At 38.6% G+C, this 24,625-nt stretch overlaps 1 protein-coding gene across 8 annotated transcripts in view; it reads left to right on the forward strand.

Annotated features, from left to right (window-relative positions):
- SLC44A1 (solute carrier family 44 member 1) overlaps positions 1 to 24,625 on the forward strand; it is a 193,854-nt gene that overhangs the window by 66,967 nt on the left and 102,262 nt on the right. For all 8 annotated transcript variants that reach the window (NM_001330731.2, NM_080546.5, NM_001286730.2 and 5 more), the window contains one exon: positions 23,946 to 24,082. In NM_001330731.2, the coding sequence (NP_001317660.1) occupies positions 23,946 to 24,082 (137 nt within the window). The remainder of the gene's footprint in view (positions 1 to 23,945; positions 24,083 to 24,625) is intronic.

Consider the following 24,625-nt stretch of genomic DNA (forward strand, 5'->3'; position numbering starts at 1 on the left):
TCCCTGAATGTTTAGAATAGTCAAGAGCCATTCATACAGAGGGAAAATAGTTTCCCAGGTGTAGCTGTTCCTTAATTCATGTACGCATGTTTAAAATTTATTTTTGATTTCTACTTCATCTTCTCTTACTGTATGACCTTTTTAGTGCTAACCTACTTAAGTATTTCTGTCTATAAGTGTTTTTGTAAAAAAATGAACAGACTTTTTTTTACCCTTCTCAGATAAGTCTATAATATTTCGATCTGAAAACAGACAGAAAAGCAGCAGTCTTTGTGTTTGTCACCTTCATTCCATCCTCTTCTTTCTCCTGAAAATGCATTGGTTTCCTTCCTTTACACTTATTTCCTCGTACTTCTTTGCTTCCTTATGAACTGTAGGCCCTTGTGTAGCTATATAGTATTTTTACACCTGTTTTGTCTGCTAATACTTCAGCCTAACCTTGATCACTTTCTCCTGTTCCTTACTGTCAGCCGCTAGTACAGTAGCTGGTCTTACTAAGACCTTTATACATATTTGTTGAAAAAGTCAACAAATCAGTCCTCTAAAATCTCAACTATAGCTCTTTCTTGACTTCATGAATATTGTTTCTTCTATCAGAAAAAAAATTCCTCCCAATCTGCACATGGCTAAACTCTACTCATCCTTCGGCTCTCAGCATAAATGTCACTTCCCAGAGAGGTCTTTTTGTTCTCATAATTTAAATCCAATATTCAAAAGTACTCTCATTATATCCTGTAATATGTGTAATTATATACTTATTTTTTGATTATTTGTTAAATGTGTATTCTAAGTGCCATGAGAGAAGAAATGAGATATATTTGATTCGCTGCTATGTCTCAGATCCTAGTTCACTGCCTAGAGCATAGTAGGCACACATTTAAATGCTTGTTGAATGGATAAATCAATTTATTTCCTTAGAATATGTTTTAAGAAGTAAATTAGTGAGTCTGAGGATTTGTATATTTTAAAATTATTAATGCATATTGCTGAATGGCTTTCCATAAAGACCGTTCCATTTATATTCCCACCAACAGTGTTTGAGATTGCTTTATCTTTGCTAGTATTATTAGTTTTTATTATTTACTAATTTTTTAAGCCAGAAAATGGTGTTTTATAGTTTTAATTTGCATGTCTTTGATTATTAATGAGTGTGAACCTTTTTTCCCCATGTTTGTTAGCCTTTCATGAAGACTGTTGTGCTAGCGTATCTATTCTTGGTCGTCTTATCTCTAATCTGCTCCATCCTTTATACTGTGATAAGATTAAGTTGTTTAAAATAGGGCTCTTATGTTGTCATTTCCCTCCTCAAGAGCCTTTCCTTTGGTGGTGTTGTCTATAGCATCAAAGAAGAGCCCACTCAGCCCTGCCCTTCCAGGACTCCTGTGATGTGGACCCGTTTCACCTATTCAGTCTCCTCCCACTGTTCCTCAGTGTGATGTTCTTATTGTCTGGGACATTCAATTGATTCTTACCTCTTTGCTGTTCCTTCTACCTTTCTGCCAGTCTGAATTCTTGAAACACTTAAGATGTGTCTCATAACTAACCTCTGTATGAAATGTTTCAAAACTAACCTTATCCATAGTGAGCTTTCCTTTAATTTGATTACCTGAACGTCCCTATATTATACTTGTTATTCTACTGCCTTCAGTTTGCACTCTAATTATATTGTGTGTTTCTCCTCTGTCTGTATTAATTGGCAGTTGCTAGGTAACAGTATTACTGTAAACTTAGTGGCTTAAAACAAGACACATCTGTGATCACTTTCTGTAGGTCAGAAATCTGGATGTGGCTTACCTGGGTCTTCAGCCACAGAGTCTCTCATAAGGCTGCACTTAAATTGTTGGTCAGGGCTGGGATTTCATCTGAGGCTCAGTGAGGGGAGGTTCCCCTTCTAAGCTCCTGTGGTTGTTGGCAGCATACAGTTCCTTGAGGGCTGTTGGACTGAGGGCCTTTGTTCCTTGCTGGCTGCCATTTTTTTGATGGTGGGGATCAGGGTGGTAGTAATATATTTTGAACTCTGATTGGGAATTCCAAAAACATACTTTTTCTGTCACATTCTAGATTGTCTACAATCTTTAGGTCTATAATATATAAGTAGGCTTAGAGTATATATGTCAATTTTAGATAAAAAATTATTATCATTATTATTATTATTATTGGAGGCAGAGTCTTTCTCTGTCACCCAGGCTGGAGTGCAATGGCGTGATCTTGGTTCACTGCAACCTCTGCCTCCTGGGTTCAAGTGATTCTCCTGCCTCAGCCTCCTGAGTTAGCTGGGACCACAGGCATGCACCACCGTGCCTGGCTAATTTTTTTTTGTATTTTTAGTAGAGACTGGGTTTCGCCATGTTGCCCAGGCTGGTCTCGAACTCCTGAGCTCAGGCAATCTGTCCACCTCGACCTCCCAAAGTGCTAGGATTACAGGCGTGCACGACTGCGCCCAGCCTTATTACTAATATTGTTATTATTGCCAGAGAGGAAGCTCGCTGTCTTCCATATCAATTTGGACAGAGCAGAAATGGTCCTGTTTAGTTGCAAGATGCCTGAATTAGTGAGTGTGTGGACTGAGCTGGGACAAAAGGTCTAGCTTTGTTTGCCTCTGGGGAGAAGATTGGGGTGAGGGCAGGGATGTTGTGCTTCTATCAAAGATGCTCCCATGTGCTGGGTGCCTGAGATGGGAGAAGATATGGCAAAGTGGTGGTAGCTCTTAGTAAGCATAGGCCATCATTGTAAAACTGGGTGACAGTAAGTAAGGAACTGCTCTTAATCTTTTTGACATAAGTATTAAGTCATTATTAGAACTTTTCCCTCATTCTTCAAACAGTCCTAACACAGAGCTTAGTGTCTACTTTCTTTGTTACTCCAAGAAGTTTTCCCAGTGTATCTCACACATCAGTATCAATTATTCCATAGAGGTTTTAAACATATATTTTTGCACAAATCTAATTTTCTTTTTTATCTTCTTGTCTTTCTTCCAAGGAAGGCATTTAAAGTCCCAGTCACTGATAAAGTCTCCATTGCCCTAAAATGCCTCTCCAATGTCAGATAATCTGTATTAACAGGTTGTAAAGAACTAGAGGTCTGCGGAGGATGATAGCATCTATGTATGAGTAAAATCTATAGGGGGTGCATTTTATTTGAGCTCTTTTCAATTTCCTGCATAATCTTTACCAGATTACCTAGTAAAAACAGAATCAGAGTGTGAGTTTTACTTCTTTCTCTTAATTGTTCTCATTGGCAAGATACTCAAAGTTTAAAATGTATGTGCTAAAACAATCCTTGAGATCATATTACAGGTGAAGAAACTGAGTCTAGGAAACATGAGTGACTTGATGGAGACAGACCAGCACTCAATTCTCACCCTCAGTCGGTGCTCTTCGCATCATACACTAAAATAGATCTGGTGAGCTGTATGGTAATTCCAGTTTCCCACCTTTTTTGCTTTGGGAGTTTCTCCCTCCTAACGTTTAAAGATGAAAGAAATTTTTAGGGGAACTTGACGAGTCCCCATTCACATTAAAAAAACTTTGAAAGGCACCAAAGCCCTTATACAATCTAGGAAGGCTTTGAGTAATTTGAAGGCAATTTTGTCTATTTCTTTCTCTGTCAAATAAAGAATATGAATTGTGATGATGAACTGCGTTTTTTTGTTTGTTTTTTTTTTTTTTTTACCATTTGTATGTTTTCAATATTTACTGAAAAATACTTAGCTTCAAATTGATAGTAGGGTTTTTTTAAGTAAGATAATTGATTGTTTAATAAACAGTGGTCTTATTTTAAGGAAACTCCATATTTGCAATATCTACACATATACAGAATAGGACTTTAGTGGCCACTGATCACCTTCTTTAAAGTCATAGTCCTGTATCTTTAGTGTCTCTGGTTCAGTCTACCCCGTGATCACATATTAACTTATGCAGAGGATTATTTAGGGGATTGTACCAATATGAAAACTGTGCTCACACTTTAAATGATTGCCAAACTTTCTGGGCCTATACTATACCACATAACCATCTATTTTAGGGAGAATATTATTCTTTAATTAGCATGTAAAACATGCCTCTTTTGAAGACTTTTTAAAGAGTTACTGAATCTTATCGACTGTGCATACCTGTTCCTGTTTGAAAAAGAACTAGAAAAATATAGATAAAATATGCTAAAATATTTGCATGGAAGATCCTCTTATCAGCTAAGCACTTGTACAGTGTTTCATTATGTGACTAGGACTTCTCTTCCTCGTGATGACTTAAATCATATTGCTGTTTACTGAGTGACTATCCTTCACCTTTTTTGAAAATTATGTTTATTATTTTATTTAGCCCTCAGCAAATATTTATGGAAAATCAGCTGTGTCCTACAGACCACTATTACGAATACTAAAATAACAAGCGACCTAAGTGGTTGAAAAAAGCGTTTGGTTAAATTCATTCATTCATTCATTTGTGAACTCTGTTTCCTGGCCATCTTCTTTGAGTTAGGCACTTGAGATTATAGTCTTGAGCAAAATAAACATACTTTTTTTTTTATCTCATGGGAATTACAGTTTTGTGGAGACAACAATAAAATCATCATACAATCACAAATTATTATAGCTATAGGAAGCGTTTTGAAGAGAGAGGTGTAAGGGTATGAGAGGTTATAATGGGAAGGCCATGAGAAAGGTTACAATGGGAGGTCCTGGCCCGGTCTTAGATACTGTGGAGTCAGTAAAAATGATGCTGTAGAAGTATGTCCATAGCATGCAATATATGCATAACATTATTAAGGGAAAAATGAATTGCAAACCAGTATGTACAGCATGATTTTATTTATAAATGTAAAAATATACATGTACATAGAAAAGTATAGAATGACATGAAAATGTCAACAGTGTGATTAGCTGTTGAATTATGGATGGTTTTAATTTTATACTTATCTCTTTTTTCCTAAGTTTTCTATAATCGATATATACATTACTTGGGTAATGGAAAAAAAGGATAAAAAGACATCTGTAGTCCCTGTGCTTGAAGACCTTGCATTCTAGTGGGGAAGACAAAATACATAGAGAAATTATGACAGTTCAGTGATGAAATGTCATGTAAAAGTGTTGTCTATTGAAAGCTGAGTGACTCCACTTTCCTGAGTTCCTAACAGCAGGCTGGTGGGGAGAGGAAAAGAAGGCAATTTGGTGATAGTACTGGAACCACCATTGTATTACTTTCCTAATGTTGCTGTAACAAATTACCATAAAGTAAGAAGCTTTAAACAATGAAGTTCTGTAAATCGGAAACTGAAGCAAATTCATTGCTTTTAACAACGAAGTTCTGTAAATCAGAAGTCTGTGCACAGCATGGCTTAGCTGGTTGCTGTGGGTTTTGAAGGCTGAAATCAAAGTGTTGACAGGGCTGTGATTTTTTTCTTGAGGTTCTAGGGAATGAATCCTCTTCCAAGCTCATTGAGGCTATTGACAGAATTCAGTTTCACATGGCTGTAGGACTGAGTTCCTATCTCCTTGCTGGCTATAAACTGAGAGTCAGTTTCAGCTTCTGGAGGTAACATATATTCTATAGCATATATTCTATGGCTCATGACTCCCATCCTCCAGCAAAATTGGGTCAGATTCTCAGTCTTGAATCTCTCTGACCTCCCCTTAGGGCAGCATCTTGGTTGCAGGTTGTACATATGAGTTGAAGACTCTCAGCCAGTGACAGGGTTTCAGGGACAGGGTAATTTTAGGCAGAGTTTTGGAGCCTCATTTAGGTATAAAGATGCTAACTAAATTTTCAGAAGGTAAGTTTATGGAGATGTCTTTGAAAATATTTTTTGTCATATTTTGGGGGTTCAAGGCAGGGCTTGCATTTTATCAGGGTAAAGTCAAGTAAAGTCGGCTGTGGAAGGATGGTACACATAATGGTGATTGGACGAAGAGGTGACTAGATGGTTATGAGGGTTTGGGGACTGAGAGGTGGCTCCAGGAGCCCATCTTCTAGTGAAGATGGAATTCTGATTAGAATACCAAGCTTGGTTCTCACTGTCTGAGGAATAGTGTGGTTGAGTCTACAGGTTGGAATTCTTGTTGGCCATCCTAAAGCCCAGAGAAGACTGGCACACACAGGAAGGTGCTCCTGACTCTATCTTGTACTCCTGACTCTATCTTGTGGAGTTGTAGAAGCTCAGAAGAAGAGAGGTATACATTTGTCCATTGGACTAATTCTTAAGTTTTACAGAGTATTCTCCCTACCTGTTGTCAAGGTATTCCTCAGAGCAGCCCAGTAGATCACCTACTTCTTCCCACACTTAGGGATACGTTTAAACAAATGGAGATGCTCTAAGCCTTTGATGAATTTGGCTTTGCTTTGAGGGAAAGCACTCCTCTCTCTGTCTCCTGTCAGTACTCTCTGATTCTAACTCTAACCTACTGTCACTCCCACTTTAGCATAAAGTGGAAAAGAGCAGCCTAGATAGATACCTCACATAAACTTGTATTTGAGAACTTATTTCCTCCCAAATTTACAAGCATTTGGAAATAGTAACATCTGTGACGTTCTAAATGAAAACTTATTGTATTATTTATACAGGTTTTTTTGTTTGTTTGTTTTTTGAGATGGAGTCTCGCCCTGTCACCCAGGCTGGAGTGCAATGGGCAAGATCTCAGCTCACTGCAACCTCCGCCTCCCGAGTTCAATAGATTCTCCTGCCTTAGCCTCCCAAGTAGCTGGGATCACAAGCACCTGCCACCACACCCAGCTAATTTTTGTATTTTTAGTAGAGATGGAGTTTCACCATGTTGGCCAGGCCAGTCTTGAACTCCTGACCTCAATGTTCCCCCCACCTCAGCCTCCCAAAGTGCTGGGATTATAGGCGTGAGCCACTACACCCGGCCTATACAGTTTTTTTCCTAAACTTTCATTCCCTCTCATGGAAAATATTAGAAGTTGTAAAGACGCTAACTAAATTTTCAGAAGGTAAATTTATGGAGATTTTTTTGTCATATTTTGTGACCATACTACTCTTAAGCCTAAATTTTTAAACTCTTTACAAAGGTAACATCTGTATTGCTAGTGCATTTCTGCCTTTAGGATAATACTTGCTGTGGAAAATACTGCGAGCAATTTGAAAGAGGAGATCCAGCTACGTACCTTAGAAAATGCGGGAGTTCAAAGTCAAAATGTTTTGCCAATTCTAAATAGGGAAGTGAAAACCTGTTTAACAGAATTAGATGACATGTATGCAGCTAGGCGGCAAGGAAGGGATGATTGGTTTTTCTCCGTGTTGTTTGACTAGGTGTATATGTTTGCCATGTCTAAGTTAAACAGCTGGTACAAATGCTCAATCTGAAGTCTCACTACTTGAGTTGGTTCTAGGTTACCTGACACCTGTGAAGATTTTTACAAGCTTTAGTCATTGTTCATGAGCTGATAGACAATGACCTTTGTAATATACTTCAGGTAATTATTAACTGCTTCAACTATGAGTTTGATGGCAATCAAGTGGGTTTGCCACCCACTTGTGTTTACCTGGGTGTCAGAGTTGAGGGCATCTAAGAAGTTAGAGGGCACACAGTCCACACACAACCACCCTTATATCTGACCCCAATTGCAAGATCAGGGGTCCATAAAACCACCTATTTCCTGGCAAATTATTTGCCAGGAAGACTTGCAGAACTCACTGAACGCTACTGTACTCATGGTTATGGTTTATTTTTAGGAAAGGATATAGAGTAAAATCAGCCAACAAAAGGAGTGCATGGGGCAGAGCTTCCATTGTTGTCTCCCTTGGGGAGAGTGGAGTACACGGAGTCCGAGCACAGTACTTTCTCAGTGTCAGTGTGTGACAATACACAGAGTATGGCTAACCAAAGAAGCTCACCTAAGCCTCAGTGTTCATAATTTTTGTTGGGACTCCATTATATGGCTGACTCAGGCTCCAGTCTCCAGCTCCTCTGGTCAATTTGATACCATGTGATCCCAAACTCTTAATCTAAACAACATTGTTGGTCTTTCTAGGGTGGTCGACGCCCACCCTAAATAGTATGTGGAGTGGTCTACCCCAACCCTAAAACACATTGTTAGACTTCTGTGACCCAAGAGCACCAAGTAAACAAAGACACTCCTATAAGGCTTAGAAATTAACTCCCAGAAGTGAAGGGCAAAGTCCAGATCTCTTTCTGAGTAAGGTTAAATTCTTACTACACACTGGGGCTCATTAAATTAAATTGGATTTTGTAAAGTCGATTTTCAGGAAGAAATTTAAAAATATTTCATTGTTATAGTTTTGTTGAGTTATAACTTACATATAGTAAAATTTACTCATTCAAGTGTAGTTTGAATTTGGTAACTATATGCAGTCATGCATCCTCCATCACAATCCATACTTCTTTTGCTCTTAGAAAATTACCTTGTGCCCCTTTGTAGTCAGTCCTTGCCCCCATTCTTGTCCCTAGACAACCACTGATCTGCTTTTCGTAGTATAGTTTTGTTTTTTCTAGAATGTCATATACAAATAATTATATATTATGTAGTATTTTGTGTCTACCTTTTAAAACATATAATAATGCTACTGAGATTCATGCATGTTGTTAAATACATCAGTGGTTAGTTCCTTTTAAATTACTGAGAAATATTCCATTGTGTGGCTATAACACAGTTTATCTGTTCACTAGGTTTTTTGCCATTTGGGTTATTTCAATATTTAACTTTTTTTTTTTTTTTTTTTTTACTATTGTGAGTAATACTGCTTTAACAATTTGTGTATGTAATTTAATATATTTCATTACTCTTGAAGAGTTAGATATATAGCATTGAGATTGCAGAGTCATGTGGTGAGGATGTTTAACTTTATAAGAAATTATCAAGCTGTTTCCCAAAGTGGTTGCTGCACTATTTTGCATTCCCACTACAATAGTAGGAGGGTTATATTTGCTTCACTTCCTCCTAACATTTTGTATTATGAGACTTTTTGTTATTTGTTACATTTTATTTTATTTTATTTTTTTTAGAGATAGGATCTCACTATGTTGCACAGTTTGGAGTGCCATGGCTATTTATTGGCATGATTATAGCACGCTACAGCCTCGAATTCCTGGCCTTAAGTGACCCTGAGGCTCCCATATAGCTGGGACTATAGGTACAGTCCCATGCATGTCACCATGCATGTCTCTGTTCTTTTTATTCTTAGCCATTCTAGTGAATCTGTAGTGGTATCTCACTGTGGTTTTAATTTGCATGTTTCTAATGACCGATGATGTTGACCATCTTTTTAAGTGCTGGTTGACCATCCATCTGTTTTCTTTTGTGAAGTATTCATATCTTGCATATTTTAAAACAAACTGGTTAGTCTTAATGAGTTATGAGCACTAAATCTGTATACAAGACCTTTGTTAGGTAAGTGTTTTGCAATTATTTTTTCTAATCTTTGGTTTGCTTTTTGTTTTCTTAGTGACATCTTTTGATGAGCAAAAGTTTTACATTTTGATAAAGTTGAATTTGTTTGTTTTTATTAATGGCTCATGTTTTTTGTGTACTATCTGGGAAATTACTGCCTTACCCCAAATTCACAATGATTTTTTTTTGTGCTTTCTACTGAAAGTTTTTTAGTTAGCGCTTATGTTGATATATATGATTCATTTTGATTTAATTTTTGATTATGGTGTGAAGAAAAGGTCAAGGTTTATCTTTTTTCTCCCATACAAAAATACAGTTATTCCAGAAGCATTTATTGAAAAGACTATCTTCCCCATTGAATTACTTTGCCACCTTTGTCAAAAATAGATTTTGTTATAGGTTTGATGGCATGAAAGGAGGCTGATGGAGTTTCTAGTAATAGCAGCTACCAGTATTATGGAGAAATAGAAATAGTTTACCTCAAATTAAATAAGCAAGGACATCATCTTTTTAATAGCACTATTTTAAATAACTAGTTGCAGCAAATCATAATAAAAGAGATAACTAGAATATGTATAGGTAGTTAGAAAGAAAAATAATACTATTTGCCAGTGACAAGGGACTATAACCTGGAATGTTTAGGAGATTCAACAAAAACGTATCTTGAAATGAGGCGCTTAAATTATAGGTTATAAAGCAGATGCCTAACTAAAGTCAGTCGTTTGTCTTATCAGTGCACAGAAAATACAATGAAAAATATAATACTTGTTTTATTAAAATAAAATCTAACAGGATATATGTGGGACCAAATACAGAGAGTTATAGTATTTTAATTAAAAAAAAAAAACAAGAGAGATATAATCTACTTCTGGTTGAGTAGTCTTAATATAGTAAAGATGACAATACTAACAAAGTTATTATATAGATTTAATAAAGTGCCAGTTAAGATCCCAGTAGGATGTGCATTGAACTTGATTGATAGTATAAATCACAGAGTAAAGGATCAGGGAAGAATTTCAGAGGAGAAATGTTTTTAAATTGTTTCTCATTCACAAAATAATTTGAAAGGATTAGAAGTAGGTGCATATATTGTAAGACAATGAAATGGGAATAAAAAAGATCAGGAGGCACACCGTGGAAGTGGAGAAGAGATGAGACCAGAAATCTAGGCTAAGTGTAGTTACTGACATAAAGCACTAAATTAGCTGTGAACTTTCTGGTTTTGAAGGCAGGAAGGGAAACATATGGGTTTCACCATGGGTTGGATATAAGACAACAGGGAATATTGGACACTTTGGACTTTACGTGTGTGTGCCCCATGTAAAGGAGATAGCTGCTAATTGGGGTGAGTTTTGGCATATGGGTAGATGGGGCCAGTGATGCTAAGTTTTCAAAAGAAGCCGGAAGTCTGTTAATGAGTAGAAGAGTGTATCAGTCTTATGATTTTTAAATGTTGGCAGTTAGCATACTAGCCAAATAAAAGGTGGGAGTGAAGGGTTACTCATTGTGTGAGTACAGGTCGTGTATCTATGGTTGTCATTATCTAATTAATAATTGTGTCACTTAGAGGAGAATGAAAGGGGTATTGCCATTCTAGGCCGAAACCTGTTCCAAAGGACAACAACAAGACTACCTGGACATAGGTTAAGAACAGTGATTGGAACAAAATAGAAACAGCAGAAATAAATACTGTGAAAGTAGTCAGTGTTTAACAAAAAATATTGGGTTGAGTGATACTGTGAAGAAAGCTACATTTAGATCTACTTTAATCTCATACCATGCAAAATAAGTTCCACATGGGTTAAATATTTTAAAATCAATGTTCTACTTTGTATAATTGAATGAATATTATACTTTAATGGTTGTTATATTTTGTATAATTTCAATATTATAAATGAATATTATACTTTGTATAATTTCAATAATTGATACATTGTTGAGGCAATAAAGAAATTAAATAAGGCTGGGCGCAGTGGCTCATGTCTGTAATCCCAGCACTTTGGGAGGTCAAGGCGGGCGGGTTACTTGAGGTCAGGAGTTTGAGACCAGCCTGGCCAACACCCCGTCTATTAAAAAAAAAAAAATACACCACCAGGCGTGGTGGCGGGCACCTGTAATCCCAGCCACTTGGAAGGCTGAGACAGGAGAATTGCTTGAACCCAGGAGGCAGAGGTTGCAGTGAGCCGAGATCATGCCATTGCACTACAGCCTGGGCAACAGAGTGAAACTCCATCTCAAAAAAAAAAAAAAAAAAAAGAAAGAAATTAAATAATACCAAGGTAGGCATGTTTGATTATCAAAAATTTGATTCTCTGATATAAAAGCAATACAATGGGAACAACATTTAGAGTTTTTCTATGATAGGTAAGATTTTTCATGCAACTGGGGATGTATCTGTACGAGTAGATCCAGTAGGCAGATAATCAAAGGACAGGTTACACTGTTGAAAATAACAACAGTAATGTTTGGCCTAAAGATCTTCATTTGTAAAATGAAAATAATAGCAGTACTTCCTTGGGTGTTTTAGAGGAGTAAAGATCATAAATCATGTATACTCCTTAGCACAGTGCCTGGTATCGTGAACGTTAACTGTTGTTTATTATAATCATCTTCATTATCATCATCTAAAACAAGCTTCAAAGTTACTTAATCAAGGCTTCGTCCCTTTTTAACCTAGATGGGGAAAACACAGCTATTTTAACCAACTGTTAAATTTATGTAGTTTACAAAGCACTCTCACATATTCTGTCTCATTGATTCTCACTATCCCTGGGAACTGCTTAAATTTTTTCTCAGGGGAGGCTTTCAGGGTTCCGTTTTTCATAGACACAGCTTGGTCTTTGTCATCACCCTTAATTGTTCTACCTATAAAATCAATTCAGAGTAATTCTAAACTTTCCCCACTCTCACCATGGTCTTCTGTCCTTCCATCTTGCATTGCATGTCCTTTTTTGCCCACTGCAGCCATTCTTCGACCTCTAGTCCTTTGACTCCTGTACTTTCTCCCAAGTGCTTTTTGTTTTTGTTTTTGTTTTTGTTTTTGACGGAGTCTTGCTCTGTCGCCCAGGCTGGAGTGCAGTGGTGCGATCTAGGCTCACTGCAAGCTCCACCTCCCGGATTCACGCCATTCTCCTGCCTCAGCCTCCCGAGTAGCTGGGACTACAGGCGCCCGCCACCACGCCCGGCTAATTTTTTGTATGTGTTAGCCAGGATGGTCTCGATCTCCTGACCTCGTGATCAGGATTACAGGCGTGATTCACCGTGCCCGGAATTTTTTTTTTTTTTTTTAAAGACAGAGTTTCACTCTGTGGTCTAGGTGGGAGTGCAGTGGGGTGATCTCGGCTCACTGCAACCTCCACCTCCTGGGTTCAAGTGATTCTCCTGCCTTAGCCTCCTGAGTATCTGGGATTACAGTTGTGTGCCACCACACCTGGCCAATTTTTGTATTTTTTTTGTAGAGATGGGGTTTCACTGTGTTGGCCAGGCTGGTCTCAAACTCCTGGCCTCAAGCAATCCACCTGCCTCGGCCTCCCAAAGTGCTGGGATTGCAGGCATGAGCCACCACGCCTGGCCTCCAAGTGCTGTTTTTACTCTACTGTCATCCTTGCTTTTTGTTGTAATATAATTTTTTCATAATGTTGTGACAATATCTAGTGAATATCTGTGCCTTACTCTGTCTTACTCAGAGATCTGAAAGAAATCTGTGATAGGCAAAGGATTCCGAGGGACATTTCTCCAAAACAGCTATGTGAATGTCTAACAGGCACATGAAAAGATAGCCAACATCATTAGCTATCAAGAAATGCAAATCAAAACAACAATAAGTTACTATTTCACATCCACTAGAATAATTATAATAAAAAGGCAGTTACAGATGTTGGTGAGAATGTGGAGAAATTGGAGCCCTCATACGTTGCTGCTGGGAATGTAAAATATGATAGCTGCTCTTGTAAACAATCTGACAGTCCATCAAAATATCAAACATAGAGTTACCATATGATCCAGCAATTCCACTCCTTCGTATCTACCCAAGAGAACTAAAAACAGATGTCCCCACAAAGACTTGTACATGAACATTCATAGCAGCTGCAGCATCTAATAGCCAAAAACAGAAAACAGCACAAATGTACATCAACTGATGACAGGATAAACAAAATGTGGTATATCCACACAATGAAAAGTTATTCAGCCATTAAAAGGAATGAAGTGCTTATATATGCCATGGCATGGATGAACCTTGAAAGTGTTACACTACATAAAAGAAGCCAGCCACATATGGTACAATTCTCTTTATATGAAATGTATAGAATAGACAAATGTATAGAGACATAAGGTAGATTAGTAGTTGCCTAGGGCTGGGGAGTAGTTGGACATGGAAGGATGATGTATTCACTCGTTTTCTGTTGCCTACAGCAGAATACCTGCAACTGGGTAATTTATAAAGAAAAAGGAATGTATTTCTTATAATTATGGAGGTTGAGAAGTCCAAGATGGAGGTTCTACATCTCATGAGAGCCTTTTGCTGGTGGGGACTCTGTGCAGAGTCCTGAGATAGCTCAGGGTATCACATGATGAGGGGTCGAGTGTGCTGATATGCTAGCTCACATCTCTCTTCTTACAAAGCCACCAATTCCCCTCCCATGATAATTCATTAATCCATTAACAAGGGAGGAACTCTCATAATCCAATCACCTCTTAAAGGCACCACCTCTCAATACTGCCACACTGGGGATTAAATTTCAACATGAGTTTTGGAGGGGACAAATATTTATACCATAACAGATGAGGAGTAATTCTAATGGATAGGAGGTTTCTTTTGGGGGTGACAAAAGGTTCTAAAATTAGATTGTAGTAATGAGATGAACAACTCCGTCAAATATACTTAAAACATTGAATTGCACAGTTTACACAGGTGAATTTTATGGTATGTTAATTATATTTCAGAAAAGCTGATAAACTAAAAAGAAAATGAAATTTCTGGCCATTGGCCCATGACACATATTATTTCTCAGTATGAGTGCTGAAACAAGTTGATTTAGGAGTGTTCTTTCAATTTATTGGACTAAGTAGAAAATTGTTTTTTTATGTGAAATGTTCTTTTTTAAGAGACCAGGCAGGTCTTGCTTTGTCACCTAGGTTGGAGTGCAGTGGTACCACCTTGGTTCACTGCAGCCTCAACCTCTTGGGCTTGAGTAATCCTCCCAGCTCAGCCTCCCAAGCAGCTGGGACTACAGGCGTGTGTCACCACATCTGGCTAATTTTTGTATTTTTTGTAGGGATGGGGTCTGGCTGTGTTGCCCAGGCTAGTCTCAAATTCCTGGCCTCAAGTGATCCTCCTGCCCTTGTCTCCCAAAGTACTGGGATTACAGACAAGAGCTAATGCACCCAGCTAAAGTTGTTTTAATTTACTTTCTTGCCTCAGTTTATTATAAGTAATATCATTTGCTATAAGTGACTCTTGGTTGCCATTCTGACAATTATGTCTCCCTCCATGGTACATGGATAAGCAGGAGACAGGCATTGTAGCTAAAGAGGGGAGTCTTCCCCCGTGCTTTTCCAGTTCCATGCCTTTGCTTTGCAATGTTAGTATCTTCTTTGGCTCTTTCGTCATCTTGCTTTTTACTCTTACGAGGCCTTTGACAATCTATTCGAAACTATGAAGTATAAAATCTGTCTTCAGAAAAATACATATGGATTTGCACATCAGATTTTGCTTATGATTTCTGGAGGCTCACAGATTTCACCCAGGTTAAGAATCTTAACCCTACACACTGACTTTGGTGATCTCATGCACTCCCAGGGGAAAGCTACCATTTATATATGCCGATTATTCCAAAATCACTGTCGCCTGTCCAGATTTCTCTGCTAGAATCCTACAGCCAACTGTATAGGTCCATTTGGACACTTCATAGGTGTCTCCAACTTAAATTCTCTGCAGTTGGAACGTCATCCTTGTCCTTCGGTACTCTGCTCCTCCTCCTGAGTCCCCTATCTTACAGAATTGAGCAGGATTCCAAACCAGAATGTCCTAACCGTTTAGTCTGAGATGCTAAGCATTATGTTTAATTTTTTTCCTTTCCACCTATGTATAATCAGTCATAAAGTTTTCTTCATTGTGTCTAAACTTTTGAAATCTCCTTTTTATTCACATTCCCACCCTAGTTCAAGTCATCATTTCTTGGTAGAAATTTAGTAGCCTCCTGGCCAGTCTCTTTTCTCTTGCTTGCCTCTGACTCATTCTGCACCTTGCAGCTGGTGAGCTCCCAGTGGCTTCCCAGTGTCTTTAAGATGAACTCCAGACTTTCTAACATCTTTTTTTTTGAGACTGAGTCTCACTCTGTCACCCAGGCTGGAGTACAGTGGTGCAATCTCAACTCACTGCAACCTCCACTTCCCAGGTTCAAGCAATTCTCCTGCCTCAGCCTCCCAAGTAGCTGGGATTACAGGCGCACACCACCACACCTGGCTAATTTCTGTATTTTTAGTAGAGACAGGGTTTCACCATGTTGGCCAGGCTGGTCTTGAACTCCTGACCTCAAGTGATCTGCCCACCTCGGCCTCCCAAAGTGCTGGGATTTACAGGCGTACCATTTATAAGGCCCTGCATGATCTAGCATCAGCTTGCCTGTCCAGCCGTCTATGAACCATCCTGACCATTTTCTTGTTTTCAGCTGTGCCATGCTCCCTTTAACCTTTTTGCCTTTGCCTGCTCTGTTCCTGCGCTGTTCCTACCCCCTTTCATCCACACTGGTTAACTCTTACTCATTCTTTAGGTCCCAGCTTTAGATATCCCTTCCTCAGGACACCTATCCTGATTTTCCATTAATGGGGTACGTTTGATGCCTCCTCTATAATCCTGTTTTCCCTGCTCTAGCACTAGCACACTGTTTGTAATTGTCTTCTTACTCTCTGGATTGTGAACACTAAGAAGGGAGACACTTAGTTGTGTGGTCTTATTTATCATCGTATCTTTAGTACTTATTTAGGCCTACACCTGGCAGAATAGGTGTTTGATAAAATTCTTTTGAATAAACGAGAGTATTTCTCTGTTCCTGAAATATCTTCTTCCTTACCTTCACTCCCCTCTGGCCCCACTTAGCAAAATCTTATATAATTACCATCTGTTTATTAATTTGGGAAATATGCAGCTTCTTCTTTATTCCAGGCATCATTTTAGGCACTAAGGATGTAGGGATGAATTAAGCAGTCAAATATCTCTGCCCTGTTGGAGCTGATATTCTACTAGTGGTGGTGGTGGAAAATAAACAGATAAATAAGTAAAATACACAGTGTGTGAACGAGTGTAAGTCTGAGGAGAAACAAAGCAGGAAAGATGAAGGCACATCAGAGTGGAAAGTTGGCGTTTTAGACAGGCTGGCCAGCAAAGGCTTCACTGAGAAGATGTCTTTTGAGTGAAGACTTCAAAGGAGGGAAGGAGCTAGCTCTGTTGCTCTCTAGAAAAAGAACATTCCAGGCAGATAGGCAGTGCAGCAGCCCCACGGTGAGAGTGTGCCAGGTTGCTTGAGGAACAGAAAGGAGACCAGTGGGAGACCAGGCGAAGGTGAGGTTAGAGAGGTGCACATTCTCTGAGTATTGCTGTCTTAGTCTGATCCTTGGGCTTCCTCTGCAGTTTAAAGTTATTTTCAGCTCTCAGTGCTGTGAATTACCAGAAAGGGCCATGAAAGTTTCTCTTCTTAGCAGTTGCCTGTAAATGAAGGTCTACAGAAGTGCTGGCGGAGGAGGCTGCCATGCTGTTTAGAATTCAATTGTCTCTTTGGGGGTTGGTGAGATGGATCCTTAGGTTTTAGTTTTAACAAATGGCACCTCTTCCTTAGGAGATTTTTGCCTCTTCCTAGTTAGGATTGAGGAAGCAGTGGGGAAAGGCACACCCCTGTCAGCAACCTCATGGGTTGGGTTTCTTGGGTTTCACCAACTCTGGTGTGCTGGCCCCATAGTTCTTTCCTAGTATAACAGGGCTCTCCTGGGGGCATTTGGGTCCCACCCCAGATTAGATGACTGGACTTGCCTTGCTGGTACCCCAACACCAGCCCCTCTGGAAATAAGAGGCCTCCTCTGGGCAGAATTCCGCTGTGGGTGGAGTACAGATCTGCGGGGCTCTCTGTAGCCTATGTTTAGCAATAGCAAGCCTCCGCTAGGCTGTCATGGTTTTCAGTTTGGTATGATTCACTCACGGCAACACTCTCTGTGGAAAGGGGCTATAAATTGTAAATTGATATGAGGTAATAATTGGGAAAATGATCAGACTCCATTTTTATTCCCCTCTGGGGAAGACACATATCAGGAATCACTAAAGCAGAAGGTGACAGAGGGATTTTTCAGCCTGCTTTCCAGCTTTAGTGCTGCAGTGCTTCCATCCTGATTGGAGAGGAGAGCAGCCAAATTCGGCAGGAGGCAGCCAAATTCGGCAGGAGGCGGCCAGCAGATCTAGTATCTGCTTGCCACCTTTTGCTCCAAAAAGTCTTGTCACAGAGTTGCCATGGCAGCAGGAGGCAATTTAATGGCAAAGGCTCATCTCTGGATCAGCGCTGCTGTTCCCCAGCCATTCCCTCTCTAGCCTTCAATTCGAGGGGCTGGCCATACCAGGGTATCACTGTTCCGTGGCCATTTGAGTACGTGTTGCCTAATGGAAGAGCTGTAAGATCTTCCAGATTCTAAGGACGGCTACATTTTCTATCCCCTGCTTCTCCTTGGTGCATAGCTCTTTGATACCCCATCCTATAGTCGACTTTATCAGATTATTTGCAGTTCCTTAAATATGCTCTTTCATGATTCTGTGCTTTTAGACATGCAGTTTTCTCTGCCTAGAGTGCTCCCTTCCCCATCTGTCTGGAAAATTCCTACTCAATTTCAAAATATGGCTTAGATACTGCCTCCTCCTCCTTAATGGTTTCTCTAACCCCTTATCCTCCATGCAGAATTACACAATTTCCACTGACATCTCAGCCTTGCCTCCTATCACATGGTTTTTAAATGACTGTATATATTTTTGTGTGTTCTTCTCTAGACTGTAACTTACTTGCATTCAAGAACTATATTTTATGAATTTGGTATCCAAAGGGTCTGGCCCAGGAGTATACACCTAGTAATGTTTGTTATAAATGAAGTTTTTCTTATCCTATTTAATTCCTGTCACGTGAGTGTTGCATACCACATAGAGTACAGCCCTATATCATGTACAGGTAGGGCTTTGTCTGTCAGGGATCCCAGAAGATTAGGGATCTCCAGGGATCCCAGAAGATTGCACTGATTTAATCAACTGACTTGCTGGTCTGTAACTCACTTTCCTTTGCATTTATTCTCACTTTACAGTTTGAACTGGAAAGTTAGGTTAGTCACCCAGCTTGCCAGTCAGTTCCATCATTTGTTGAATTAGGATGTTGTGAGGCTAAAGCCTGTAATGCTTTGTGACTCAAAGTAAATTATTGGTGAATCTTATTTTCTTTACCTTCTCCTATCTTCAGTAAAGAAAGTAAAAGCAAAACAGAAGTTTAAACCAGTTTTAAACCTTCTATGGCATCATATCATTCATTTTAATCTTGCTCTGAGTGCAGCTTTAAAAGTCACTTCTTTTCTGACTCTTATCCTTTTTCCTGAGTTTCAGTGATATAATGTCCCACCTTTGTCTCGTTTCCCTGTTTTCATCTTTGGTGCATCTGTCCTCCTCGTTCACCTTGTAGACAGAGCATTTTATTCAGACATCTCTCCTTTTCCTGCCTGTTGGGATAATTTGTTATTGTATCTCAAAAATATCCATTTAAAAATAAACCTTTTCCTCTTCCTCAGATAATTTCTGGAAACCACCCCAACTGTAATAAATACACATTTACATGCCTTACCAGCTGTCCTCTGTAATGTTTGCTTTGCAGTTTGGTCTGAGCATTTTTCTCCATTCCCATCTACCTTTTAAGTTCAAAGCTTACTTAGGCTGTTTTGCAATTCCCTTTGCAAATGCATTTCTGTATCATCTGATCATGCTATGTGCATATTGTATATGCCAATGCCTGCAGGTGTCTAGGCTGTTTTGTTTATAGAGTATTTTTCTGTTACTGCTTCTTGTCTTTCATTCTCACTTTTGGTATTTTATTTATTCCTGTTCCTCTAAAGGATATGAAACTTAAAGCTGTATTTAAGTTATTAATAAGCTTAGTAAAAGATTCACTGAGGATAACAACGACAAACTTGCTCTTAACTTAGGTTTATGGATTATCTGTGACATGGGCTCTCCACCTTGGAGATGGCATAGGGAAGGGGGAGGTATGGAGGCCAAGGCACATAATCAGAGTTGGCCTGAGAAGCTTTTTCAAAATGTATGTGCTGCATCTCTTTCCTGATCCTTGCCCTGTTGGGAGTGAAAGTAGGTGGATACTGCGTGTTACCCTCTCAGCTGAAATACTCATCTGTAGTTTTCAGTTACAATAATCTGGTTTGTCAATACCATGCTTATTACGATTATTTGTTTCATTGTCTAAAAATAAAACTATCAGTTCATTTTGTTTAAAGTGAAAACTGAAAAACTAATGTAAGCATTTATTTACCTGGTTAAGGACATTTTCCAATCAAAAGGCAAGAAAGTGCAGTTTTAATAAATCATAAATTGGTTTGATACAAGCACTTGGCCTCCTATAAATATTCAGTTAAATATGAATTAGTTAAAGTATAATTACTTTTAAGCATGTTGCCATGGATTGGATGAACTTCAGAATGCTGGAAACAGAATATTCAAAGTTAATAGAGAACAGTTAAATTTACTAATGATATTTGTAGGAAATATTTTGGAATAGTGCAGAATGGAAACAGTGAAACTCAGAATCAGAGGTACTATGTTTGAATTCATGCTTTGGCACCTACTAGCTCTCTTGGGCCTGGTGGTTAGGCCTCAAGGCCTCAGTTTTAACATCTTTGGAATAGTTATGGCCCCTACCTCACAGAGTTGTTGCAAAGATCAAATAAGTTCTTGAATGTGACAGTGACTAACACCTACACACCCAACAAATGTTAATAGAATCTGAACCTAAGGTCAAGGTCTGTATGTTATTTTTAACTTCATGTGTGTGCATTTGAATATGTGAAAGGCATAGAGAATTAAGCTTAATATCTTTTCTTTTCCTTCTTTGTTTCTTTTTTTTTTTTTTTTTTTGAGACACAGTCTCGCTCTGTTGCCCAGGCTGGAGTGCGGTGGTGCGACCTCGGCTCACTGCAATCTCCGCCTCCTGGGTTCAAGCGATTCTCCTGCCTCAGCCTCCCAAGTAGCTGGAATTACAGGTGCCTGCCACCACACTCAGCTAATTTTTGTGTTTTTGGTAGAGATGGGGTTTCACCATGTTGTCCAGGCTTGTCTCCAACTCCTGACCTTAAGCGATCTGCCCACCTTGGCCTCCCAAAGTGCTGGGTTTACAGGCTTGAGCCACTGCACCTGGCCAGCTTAATATATTCTTAGACTATGGAAGGCAGGTAAGATACAGAGTGTAAACATGTGATGTATGTGAGTGTGTATTTCTTGAAGATGTGTATTTCTTATTCAAATAAGTTTTTAGATCTTTTCAAACCATATACACAGGCTGAAAAATGTGCAGTGTTAATTTCACAGTGTTGTAGTCATGGTAGCATTCTTCTCACCCTCCTGTTCTTGTTTTCTTTGTGCTGGATCTGTTTTGGGGGCCTACTTGGTTCTCAAGGGTAATGACCTTACCCTTAGTCATGAATACTCCTACACAGATTTTTTTTTCCTAAATGAAAACCGAATGTTAGTATTGTATCCCTGTTTTATGCCCATATAAGAAAGGGTTGAGTTTAGTTCCTTACTATGAAATGTAAGATGTATGGAAAGCAAATAGTATTCTTAATGGTAATGACACGAATCACTGAGTGCATACTATGTTAGGTGCTTTATATATATTATTGATCACATTACAACAAACTATAAAATCGGTGATATGTAATTTTTCAGATAAGGAAACTGAGGCTCAGAAGGATAAATATATTTTCCAAGGTCAGAGAACTATTAAGAGAGAACCAGAAAGCAAGTTCACATTGGTCTGACTAAAGCAAGGGATAAGGTTGCTGCCCAGTCACTAGCATAAATCAAAGGAATATGTTTTAAGGTATAAAAGAAGTTAGAAATATAATAGGGATACTTTTGCCCTTGGAGGAGGCTGAAGCCTACAGGACAGACAGTGTATCTATTCTCAAGAGGTTGTCATTGATCCAGCCTAGGCCCAGCAGCAAGGCCCTGGCAGCTTCTGGCTTTTTTTTCCTTTTCCCTAAGCTTCTTTTTCTACTGTGATGTGATTTCCCCAGATGGTTCTCAAGGCATTGCTCATCACTTAGAACTGTGTACTCAATGCCTCTCTCCCATCCCAGTTCCACTGCCCACCTCCCACCCCATAGAGAAACACACAACAGAATTACTGTGAGAGTTAAATGAGTTAATACATGTAAAGTGTTTAATACGGTGTCTGATAAATAGTAAGTACTCAATAAAATTGGCTATCATTTTTAAAAGTCTTTATCATTAAGTATTATTAGGCCAGGCACAGTGGCTTATCATACCTGTAATCCCAGCACTTTGGGAGGCCAAGGCGGGTGGATCACCTGAGGTCAGGAGTTCAAGACCAGCCTGGCCAACATGGTGAAACCCCGTTTCTACTAAAAATACAAAAATTAGCCGGGTGTGGTAGTAGGTGCCTGTAATTCCAGCTACTCAGGAGGCTGAGGCAGGAGAATCGTTTGAACCTCAAAGGCTGAGGTTGCAGTCAGCTGAGACCATGCCATTGCACTCCAGCCTGTGCAACAGGGCAGAACTCCATCTCAAAAAAAAAAAAAGAAGTATTCTTAGTAGTGATGGTGGTGGTGATGGCAATGGTAGCAGTGATAGTGGTGGTGGTGGTGGTAGCAGTAGTGGTTGATTCAAAGGTTTTGTGACACATTTCTCAAGGACCTGATTGTTCCCTGTCCAGAATCTGTCTTTGTGCAATTCATTATACAGGGTCAAAGGCATAGACATGCTTAGTCAGACGCCCAGGATAGAAGAAGGGAGAATTAGTAAGAGAATGCTTGTTTCTACTCAGAAGTTGCCAGAAACAATTCTCTGTATGCCCTGCTTCCTTGTTATCAGCCATGGAAACAGTCCACAAAACCTACTTCTAAACCTCATCTTTCTGCCTGGCTTTTTTTCTTTCCTTCTATCTGCATAGATAGAACATTAATGGGTTTGGAGTCACTGATAGGGTCACACACACATTTTTTTTTTTTTTTCGTTTGGTAAGTTATACCTGACCTTCATGCCGGGTTCCCAGTCCCCTTGCTGCGCTGAAGTGTGCAGTGTTACTTGATCTGCAAAGGCCTCTGTAGTAGCCCCCTTTTTTTTCCTACTTATTTTTTTTTCCTTTATAGTTTCCATTTTAGCATATGTATTGACTTTACCTTTTCTGCTTTTCAGTTTGTTCTCCTAATTTTTATATTAGGTTATATTTCCTGTTCCAGATTTGAAACCACATTTTGCATAGCAACAGAGTTTAACTGTGTGAAAGGCTATTGACAGATGCATGATTTTATAAAACTTCCTATGGACTCAGTGGAATTGAACCCTGGCTGGAGATTCATTTTAGGTGGAAGCATTCCTTCTTGTACTCCCTTCCTTGATCCGTGTTATTGCACTTAGCTTATCTCAATTGAGAATGTTTAGCCCTTACTTTCTCTTTGAGCAAATGTTAGCATCTACAATCTTTATCATCTCATCTACTTTATAACATTAAAAATACATGCTTTGGCGTGCTTTCTAATTAATCTTCCCTTTTCTAAAATACAAGTATACAGGATGTAAAGGGTATAATTTCAGATTTGGGGATTATTTTATCTATCTGTAATGGACAGTATTTAAACTATTAATAAACAATATTTACTGCCGTTATATCAGTTCAAAAGTAATTGGCATTCTTTCTAAAGATGCGGATTCTGAAAGGTAAAATAAATTAAAAATCACTTTATTTTAACACCCAGCGATGACTGTAGTTGAAATGTTGGTGTATTTCCCTCTGGTCCCCATTTAACTTTGTATATTCAGTTGTATATATTCATTGATATCTATAATATATATTCATTTTTGGAATTATATAATTCTGTTCATATGAATTATATATAATGAATGAATTACATTTATTAACTAAAGTTTACAGTTTATATATAAACTGTTATTCATGCTGTATTATATAGCAGTATTATGATATTCCAATAATTTTTTTTGGTACAAGTTTGACAAAATAAGAAAAAATTAATGATTTGAAGAAAACTAAAATAGATGATTTCTGATTATGAAATATGCATGTGCACAATACAAACATTTAAATATTAGAAAAATAGATCATGAAAATTATAAGTCCTACAATTCCCCTATTCCCACTGTTAGTCTGTTAATAAGCAATTTTTTTAAAATGTATTTATGATGAGATTTTTATCGTGGAGGAATGTGGAATAGATGTTCTTTGCTCTAGGCTTAGTCAAATATGCAGGGACCCACAATGTGTTTTGTGAAGTAATATCTCAGTTTTTTTCTCCATGCTTTAGGTATGTATTCTTTTTGGATCCATGCAACCTGGACTTGATAAACCGGAAGATTAAGTCTGTAGCACTGTGTGTAGCAGCGTGTCCAAGGCAAGAACTGAAAACTCTGAGTGATGTTCAGAAGTTTGCAGAGATAAATGGTGAGACATTAGGCCATCCAAATCTATGTCCTGTCACCTTGTTCTCTTTGTTAAATATAAATTTGCCCTAGTGTTAAATAAATTATCAAGGAACCTTAGATAATTGAAGTAATTTTGGACTTCCTTGCTAAAAAATATTATAGTCACCCAGGGAGCTTGTTAAACTCCAGATTCCTGGGCCCCTCCCTGGGCAAAATTCTGACTGAGTGGGTCTTTGTGCTCTGGAAGTTAGTATTTTTAAAATAAATATCTCAGGTGACTTTGATGTAGTCTATCGAGTATTTGGAAATTACTAAACCACTCTATGTAAAATTTATTTCTTGTTCCCCCTTCCCAAGTATTGGTTAAAAGTATTTCAATTCACATATATAAAAATTGAAATAAGTTTTATATGTTGAAACAATATATATACATACATATGTGTGTGTGTGTGCATGTGTGTGTGTGTGTGTGTGTGTGTGTGTATCTCCCTGGTTAGCAATGTAACATATGCATATTATAGGAAATTTGGAAAGTTCAGAAAAAATAAGAAGTAGAAATTTA

Source organism: Homo sapiens, chromosome 9, assembly GCF_000001405.40.
Source record: "Homo sapiens chromosome 9, GRCh38.p14 Primary Assembly".
NCBI lineage: Eukaryota > Metazoa > Chordata > Mammalia > Primates > Hominidae > Homo > Homo sapiens.